The 9,491-nt window shown below is 40.8% G+C and overlaps 1 protein-coding gene across 2 annotated transcripts; it reads right to left on the reverse strand.

Annotated features, from left to right (window-relative positions):
* Positions 660 to 9,197, reverse strand: PAGE1 (PAGE family member 1). Of its 2 annotated transcripts, none has more exons than NM_003785.4 (6): positions 9,082 to 9,197; positions 7,921 to 7,991; positions 7,312 to 7,414; positions 4,462 to 4,587; positions 2,631 to 2,756; positions 660 to 776 (listed from the first exon to the last, which is right to left on the reverse strand). In NM_003785.4, exons 2-6 carry the CDS (start codon positions 7,981 to 7,983, stop codon positions 754 to 756), a joined length of 441 nt encoding a protein of 146 aa, NP_003776.2. In that variant the 5' UTR covers positions 7,984 to 7,991; positions 9,082 to 9,197; the 3' UTR covers positions 660 to 753. The 2 variants fall into 2 exon arrangements, with proteins under 2 accessions (NP_003776.2, XP_011542300.1); XM_011543998.3 differs by having other exon boundaries at positions 9,072 to 9,197.

Genomic DNA, 9,491 nt, shown 5'->3' on the forward strand with positions numbered 1-9,491 from the left:
ATCACAATAGATGCAGTGTTTGATGAAACTCAACATATATCCAAAATGAATACTCTCAGCAAACTGGAGCAGAGTGGAATGACTGACTGTTGAAGTCAATCTACAAAAAAAGTACGGTAAATATTATGTTGAAATGTTGAAATTTTTCCATTTCTGATCAGGGATAAGACAGGGATGTCCACTATCGCCATTATACCAGTGGGTCTGCCCAATGCCCCTAAAATCAGAAAAGGAAATAAAAGTGTTTAAAATGGCAGCAACAGGCCGGGCGCAGTGGCTCATGCCTGCAATCCCAGCACTTTGGGAGGCCGAGGTGGGTGGATCACTTGAGCTCAGGAGTTCAAGAACAAATTGGGCAACATGGCAAAACCACGTGTCTACAAAAAATACAAAAGAAAACAGAAAAAAAAGTGGCAGAAACAAAATTGTTCTTATTCAAAGACGATATGATTCTGTATGTTGAAAACTGAAAAGGATCTAGAAGTAAACTTTTAGAATTAATAAGCATATTTAACAAGGTTGCTGGATAGAAACTCAATATGTAGGAATTATGCCTCTACATACCAGCTCAAACAGCTAGCATATAAAATGTCAAAGAATGATACACATTTCAGAGCATCAAACACCTGGAAGTAAAATTAACAAAAGATGCACAAGACTTCTTTGCAGAAGGCTGTAAAGCTTTATTGGGAGAATTTTAATGGTCAAATTTCCAACACAGGAGCAGCCTGAACCATTTCAGCGTGTCTTCTTTTAAGGCTGTGATTGCCCTTCATCTGTAACAGAAACATAACTGTTAGGAAGATGATTTAGCAGCAGATTATTTAGATGACCCAAAAGGCACACAAAGGACACTACAATTTGGGTTTTATAAAATGGACTAAAAATAGAACTCTAAGGGCGATCCTGTGTCTTATAGCCAAGTAAACCTCTGTATAAATTTTGAGGGTAGACCTGTAGAATTTAAAGGTAATTAATTCCGTAAACATCAGGTGCTTCCTTTAAATCCAGAAGCACTTATAATTAACAGTCAGCAACTTGGAAAACACATGTGTAAAACATACTTCGGTGGATTACTCAGAAAGTACTGGAGTCATGGTCTTTGAACTTCAAATCTTACCAACTGATGCCTCAAAATCTGAAACCTACATGCAACATTTGATATGGTTAGAGATCATGTATGTGTCTACAGTCTTATTAGAAATAGTGGCTCATGAAGACTGACAGTGGGGCAGGGAGTGTGCGTAGCACAGGCATCTTACTCACACCCATGCTGAGCATCACTGACCTACATCCCACAGAAAATAGAAACTAAATGGTCTCTCACCATTTGATTATTCACTCACTCAAGGTTTCCTTGGAGAAAGATTTAAAAAGCACTTATTCATTAAGGGCCAGAGAATCCCAGCCTGGGCAACACAGTGAGACCTCATCTGTATAAAAAAAATTTTTTAACAAAACAACATCAGTCAGGCATGGCAGCTTGTGCCTGTAGTTCCAGCTGCTCAGGAGGCTAAGTTGGGAGGATCACTTGAGCCTGGGAGGCTGAGGTTGCAGTGAGCTGAAATCGCACCACAGCACCCCAGTCTGGGTGACAGAGTGAGACTTGTCACTCTGTCAGAGCGACAATTCAAAAATTGACAGTACCTAAGAATAGGCATTCAGGTCTCCACACAGAAAAACTAACATGAAGCAGAGTGCCCGCTCCCTTTCTTAGTAGCAATGAAATCTCAATTCAGAGGTTTTCAGATGACTCAGGCCAGGGTTTCATGATTTATGATAAATAAATCATGTAAAACAGATGATCTCTGTATCCTATGCATTCTATGCAACAGGATCAGAGTATGAAAGAACCAGAATGGAAAAGGATTTTAAAATATCTGACTTAAACTCACTATTTTTATAAGACCAAAGATAGGTTTAGAAGGTAAGGGATTTGCTCAGAATCTCACCAATGCTGTAAGAGCTGGTATTAGAACCTGCATCCGTGCTTCAGCATATTTCACACCAACTGATGGGTGTTACAAATGTGTTATGTATTTATTAAAAGCAGACCTTTACAAAAGCATCTGAAAATCATGAGCTATTGGTTTAAGGATTTATACTCAAAAGTTATAATTCAATATGGCTTTGTCTCAGTTTGTTTCTGTATCTGACAGTCTATAAGTTGGCTGCTGGGACCTGAACTACATTTCAAATAACCTTTATATAAGAATTCTATTATTAAGGAGGCAGTATTGTTACCCCTGTGTTATTAAAAACATAATACTGGGTCAGGTGCAGTGGCTCATGCCTGTAATCCTGGCACTTTAGTAGGCTGAGGTGGGTGGATCACCTGAGATCAGGAGTTTGAGACCAGCTTATGCAAAATGGCAAAACCTCGTCTCTACTAAAAATACAAAAATTAGCTGGGCGTGGTGGAGCACGCCTGTAATCCCAGCTACTTGGGAGGCTGAGGGAGGAGAATCACTTGAACTTGGGAGGCAGAAGCTCCAGTGAGCCGAGATGGCACCACTGCACTCCAGCCTGGTTGACAGAGCGAGACTCTGTCTCAAAAAAATAATAATTATTATAATATGATACTGTGGAAACAGACACCCTACAATTTGCATGCCTAATGGATTGCCTACCTTCCTCAGGTGTTTTCACCTCCTCTGGATTTGGCAGGCCCAACTCCTGGACATCAGGACCATCTCCGCGCTCACACCCAGTCTTCGGGTGAACCTGTTCCTGGCTATCCGCTTCAGGCTCTGGCCCTTAAAAAAAAAAAAAAAAAAAAAAAAAAAAAATATATATATATATATATATATATATATATATATATACATATACATATATATATACATATACATATATATGTGTGTGTATATATATATATACATATACATATATGTGTGTATATATATACACATATATATGTGTATATATGTATATATGTATATATACACACATATATGTATATGTGTATATATACATATATATGTGTGTATATATACACACATATATATGTATATATATGTGTATATACACACATATATGTGTATATATGTGTGTATATACACACATATATAGGTGTGTATATATGTGTATATACACACATATATAGGTGTATATATATGTGTATATACACACATATATAGGGTGTATATATATGTGTGTATATACACACATATATATGTGTATATATATGTGTGTATATACACACATATATATGTGTATATATATGTGTGTATATACACACATATATATGTGTATATATGTGTATATATGTGTATATACACACATATATATGTGTATATATGTGTATATATGTGTATATATACACATATATATGTGTATATATACACATATATATGTGTATATATATAATCAATTTAAGCAGTAAAACATGAAATATGAACAAGAAAATAATATTCATGCTCTCAGTGTTATTAAATAAAAGCTTTCACTAGTGTAATAATAAATGTGTTGATAAGAATCCCAAGAACATGATTTCAGGAGTCTGTTGGCAGAAAACAGGAAAACAGGGTTTTCCAAATATTACCCTCTTCCTTTCCGAAGACTGCCCTCAGACAACTTTGTTGCTGCCTTTGCACTTCTTTATTATTCTACTTCTGATTGTCCTTATCATATTAAATGACTCAAGACTGAAACCCTGTCTCTCACAGCACTTACACTCCTGGCACTTAGACTCCTACATGGCATGAGTAGCCACCAATAAACGCTGAGTGAAAAAAGTTCTTTAAAAAATACATGAAAAATCCCCAAATCCTGAACATTCTGCACACCAACTTGTCTATCCTCTTCAAAAATGTCCGTATCCTGAATGACAAAGAAAAATTAAGGAAACATTCCAGATTAAAGGAAACTAGAAACACATGACAAGCACATGTAAGACGTGATCTTGAACTGGACTCTGGATCAGAAAAAGAAATTCTATAAAGGAAATTATCTGGGCCAGGCATGGTGGCTCACACCTTTAATGCCAACATTTTGGGATGCCAAGGTGGGCAGATCACTTGAGGTCGGGAGTTCAAGACCAGCCTGGCTAATGTGGTGAAATCCCGTCTCTACTAAAATACAAAAAAAAAAAAAAAAGAAACATTTATTTGTCAGGCACTGTGGCAGGGCTGTAACCTCAGGACTTTGGGAGGCTAAGCTGGGTGGATCATCTGAGGTCAGGAGTTCGACACCTGCCTGTGCAACATGACAAAACCCCGTCTCTACTAAAATTACAAAAATTAGGTGCCTGTGGTGGCATACGCCTGTAATCCTAGCTGCTCGGGAGGCTGAGGCAGGAGAATCACTTAAACCCAGCAGGTGGATGTTGCAGTGAGCCAAGATTGAGCCACTGCACTCCAGCCTGGGTGACAGAGTGAGACTCCATCTCAGAAAAAAAAGAAAATTATAATACTGTGGAAACAGACACCCTACAATTTGCATGCTTAATGGACTACCTACCTTCTGCGGGCAGTTTCATCTGCTCTTCATTTCGCAGGCACACCCTCTTGGTATCAGGACCATCTCCAAGCTCACACCCAGTCTTTGGCTGAACCAGTTCCTGGCTATCAGCTTCAGGCTCCTGCCCTTAAAGATAAAACAAAATTATCATTTTAAGCAGCAACACATGAAATATGAATAAGAAAATAATATTCATGCTCTTGGTCTTATTAAATAAAAGCTTTAGGTACTGTAATAATAAATGTGTTGATAAGAATCCCAAGAACATTATTTCAGGAGTCTGTTGGCAGAAGACAGGAAAACAGGGTTTTCCAAATATTACCCTCTTCCTTTCTGAAGACTGCCCTCAGACAACTTTGTTGCCTCCTTTGCACTTATCTGTTATTGTATTTCTGATTGTCCTTATTATATTAAATGACTCAAGGCTGACATCCTGTCTCTCATTAGCATTTAGACTCCTAGCACCTAGCAAGTTATATGGCATGAGTAGGCACCAATAAATGGTGAGTGAAAAAACAGTCTTTAGAAACTACACAAAAAAGCCCAAAGTGCTAAACGTTCCGCAAACCAACTGGTCTATCCTCTTGAAAAATGTCAGTATCAGCCAGCCGGGCGTGGTGGCTCACACCTGGAATCCCAGCACTTTGGGAGACCGAGGTGGGCGGATCATCTGAGGTCAGGAGTTAGAGACCAGCCTGGCCAACATGGTGAAACCCAGGCTCTGCTAAAAATACAAAAGAAAAAATAAATTAGGCAGGTGCGGTGGCCATTGCCTGTAGTCCCAACTACTCAGGAGGCTGAGGCATGAGAATCTCTTGAGCCTGGGAGGCAGAGTTTAGAGAGAGCCGAGATCTTGCCACTGCACTCCAACCTGGGCAACAGAGTGAGACTCCGTCTGAAAAAAAAAAATAAGAAAGAAAAAAGAAAATTATCTGGATAACTGGCAAAATCTGAGTATACTCTGTGTATTAAATGACTGCAGGTTCTCATTGTTAAATGTCCTGAGTTTGATCATTGTGCAGTGATTATCCAAGGAATGACTTTTTCTTTGTTCTGAGGATATATAAACACTTTCAAGTACTTAGGGTAAAGGGCCATAATAGCTGAAACCTTATCTGAACAATGCAGCATTAATAAGAGTAAACATAATATCCGTAAGTGTGTGTGTGAGTGTGTGGGCAGCAGGGTAAGAGAGGGAGGGAAGAGACATGAAAACAATGGAGCAGAAGCTATTAACAATTGGTGAATCTAGGTGAAAAGTATATGAGTTCATTGTACTATTCTTGCAAATTTTCTACAAATGTTATGTCTTGAAAATATATAAAGTAAAAACTTGTAAGAATATATGACAACTACACTGAACTTTAGGAAGACAGAAGTTTTTTTTTAATTGTGTTAAAAAATACACATAACATAAAATTTACCATGGTAACTAATTTTAAGTGTTATAGTTCAGTAAGGAGTTATGGTTGCAACATTACCAGCAGCTAAGAACAAACTTTACATGTTTGTTTTCCTATATAACGAAACATTTATTATTTATTTATTTATTTATTTGCGATGAGGTCTCCCTATGTTTCCCAGGCTGGTCTTGAACCCTAGGCTCAAGCGATCCTCTCACCTCAGCCTCCCAAGTAGCTGGGACTATGATTTCACAGCACTAAGCCCAGTTTGAGACCTTTCTACTAAATGACAATCTAAGGATAAACCACAGGACATGTATAATACTTATATTCGGCCATAGAGTACCAACAGCAGTGTGCATCAGCTGAGAAATCTGAAGTCTACATCATGGATAGGATTTCAGTTACAATTACAGTGTCAGTTTCTGAAGGATTGAGCAGCTGGATGGATTTGAGGACTATGGAAAATCTTACAGTCACGACACCCATTGTCTACTGGGGTAAACAGAAACTTAACTTTGTTCAAATAAAGTTATATTTAGGTCCAAAGGTCCTAAATGTAATATTCCATAAATGAACCCCATGTAGAACAAAGCACCAAAAATAACACTATTTGTGAATTACAGCAAATATACTGTCTCACGCTGAGAACAAAGGAATGAGTGGACAGCAATTAATGGGCATTGTTGTCAGTCTTATTCTAGATACCTTTAACAGTGAATCCTTAGAATAATCCATGACCTGAGTTAGATAATTGTTTTGCTTCAAAATATTTTATCTCGGAGAAATTATTTCCATCTCATGTTAATCTCAGGATAATTCCTTTTTTTTGGTTTTTCTAACCATAAAAGGATTTAATCACCTCCTAAAAGCCACTTAAAAAATCATACTACACCAGCTACCTGTATGGCAGTATCCTGAATTCTCCAGCTTTCAACAAACTTACCACATAAAAATATCAAAGGAAATGGTGGCCAGCAATCAGGAACTCAGTTTTTGGAGTTGCTCCTGCTCCTCTGAACTGGGTCTATTCCTGGGCCAGTACTAAGCTACATTACAGTAAAGCATTTGAGTTTTAAGCACTTTCAGCAAAATCATTTACTATTGTTACAGCAACATAGATGGTAGGAAGACACAAACTTTGGAACAAAACACAAATTTTGTATTCACCAGTCAAGTGTTCTTGGACAAAACACAATCCCCGGGCCTCCATTCTCTCATTCATAAAGTGGAGAAATTTTATCATAGTGAGGGATTTATTTCCCTAAGGTAAGCTGCAAACTATACCCTCTTCACTTTTCCAGTCAATTTCTAGGCATCGTTTGCATGGCTTTCATTCCTCCTGTTCCTGGTATGTGACAATGCATGAGACACACACACACACACACACACACACACACACACACACACACACCCCAACAGGCATTCTTCTTCCCTTTCCCTTCACCTTGAGCTGCAGATGCTCCCTCATCCTCTCTCTCTTCAGCAGGTGTAGAATCCTGACTTTGAGTTGGTGATTCCACTTCGTCAGGTTGCTCATCACTGGACTCCTTGTGGTAGGGAATATGTGTGTGAGTGTGCAAAGACAAAAAGTTTTGTTATTAATACATGTCAAAAAATATATACGTATACACACAGAGAATGCATAGATGTTTCTGATCATAACTAAACCTAAAAATATTTCTCCAACTTTATTCTATATGGTTAATAAGGCTACTCTACCCACAGAAAGGTTACTGCGAGAAAAGTTACCCACAAGGACTTTGGAAGCTATTGCACTCTATGTTGGAATAGATGTGTATAATCTATGTGTCATTCACAAGCAAAGCATGAGAAAGAAGTCATGGCCAAAAGTTGGAGAACACAAGAGAAAAAAAAAATCCTCCTGAATCAATATTTCCTTCATGAGATACCAGAATCTTATTTTTTTAATCAGCATGAACTACCTTTATTAGTGTATCTATACTAATGCAACAACACTATCACAAAAATTAATTTCTGCTAATAGAAAACATCGAATTAACGTTAAAGCACTCAACAGCATAGGCCCAATTACCTCAGAAGATTCTACATAGATCATTGGTCTACGCCGATAGATTAATCTTCTTAGAAAACCCATATTTCACACTGAAAAGAGAAAATTGTGATTGGGAACATGCACTTGAGAGGACAGCTATATTCGATCACTTCCATGGCTAAATGTTAACTTGTCATTTTAATTTTGAAAATACTCTCAAAATAAGTCCCAGAGTTAAGTGCAAGTGTGTACGTTTTCTGAGTGCTTGCAAAGCCACTTATGCTCCCCAAGCTGGCAGAGTAGTCATCTTAAGGCATGTGGCAAAAGGCAGAGGACATTATTTTAAAATTTCTTTTAGACACAGAATCTCGCTCTGTTGCTCACGCTGGAATGCAGTGGCGTGATCACACTTCACTGCAGCCTCGACCTCCCGCTCACGCGATCCTCCTGCCTCGTCCGGAGTAGCTGGGACTACAGGCGCGCACCACTGCGCCCCTCTGACAGAGGACGTTTCTGATGAGGTTTAGTTTCACAAGCGGACTCCACATGAAAACACTAGTGAATCACAATTCCCGTGACTGCTGCTTTTGGCACACTCCCACTTACTAGAGCCATTCACCCCCCTCAAATCAAGTTTGGTTGGGCCACACAGCCTCTCCCAGTCCTTCCCATTGTTTCCGGACCTTCTATGGCAGAGGTGAGACCTTGCCACGCTTCTCACTCGGGTGTTTCTCACTCGGGCACTCCCCACTCCACACCGCTGGGGGGCGCTCACCAGCCCACAGCCTTCCCAGGTTCCAGGCCCCTTCTTTACCGCCATCTTCACCACCCACCTCCCGCCTCGGGGCCCCATTCAGGACTCAGGAATGTGCCCTGTGTCATGGGTTCCTACCACCTCGGGACTTTGACCCCTCCAACAGCACCCGCAGCACTCGCCTCATTTTCACCTGAGCCCCTGACCGCTTCCCCTTCATGGCCCACTTTCCTCCCTGTCCTGGCCCCTTCACGACCACAAAGCCGATGGCGGCGTCGCAGCCTGTGAGGAGAAGGAGGACGAGCTCGAGGCCCTTCTCTTTTGGAGGCCACTGAGGCCCTTCTCCCTCAAAAGCCACACACCACCAGACCGAGGGGCCCACCGAACCTGCCCGAAGCCCACTGGCTCCGCCTGAAGCCCACTGGCTCCTCCTCACCCTCACTCACACTTCAGCCCCTGGGAGGACTGGCCTGCGGATCTACCAGATGAGTCTCAGTAGAGGAAAAAAGTGTCCGGACAGCAGGAACGCGACTGCACACTCTCACAGCTCCCTGGCGTTCTCCACGTGGGCGAAGGGGCCGACGGGAAGGCACCCAGTGAACATGCGCACTGAGGCTAGCACCCAAAGGTGGGGAGGGCTGCAGTTCCCAGCCCCACACCCCACACTCCCGATTTTCATCCCCGTGAAGATAATGGAATCCGACCTCCCTCTGCTGTTTCATATGCCTCGGGTACTCAAATACCTCAAATAGTGCTCCCCTCAAAACTCATTCCATCTTCAACTGAGCCCCCCTCCCCTCCAGGGCCCTCTCTTGCTCTGGCCCTGCCATAGGGACAAGGACCATGGTGGCTGCCT

Source organism: Homo sapiens, chromosome X (genome assembly GCF_000001405.40).
Source record: "Homo sapiens chromosome X, GRCh38.p14 Primary Assembly".
NCBI classification, from domain to species: Eukaryota; Metazoa; Chordata; class Mammalia; order Primates; family Hominidae; genus Homo; species Homo sapiens.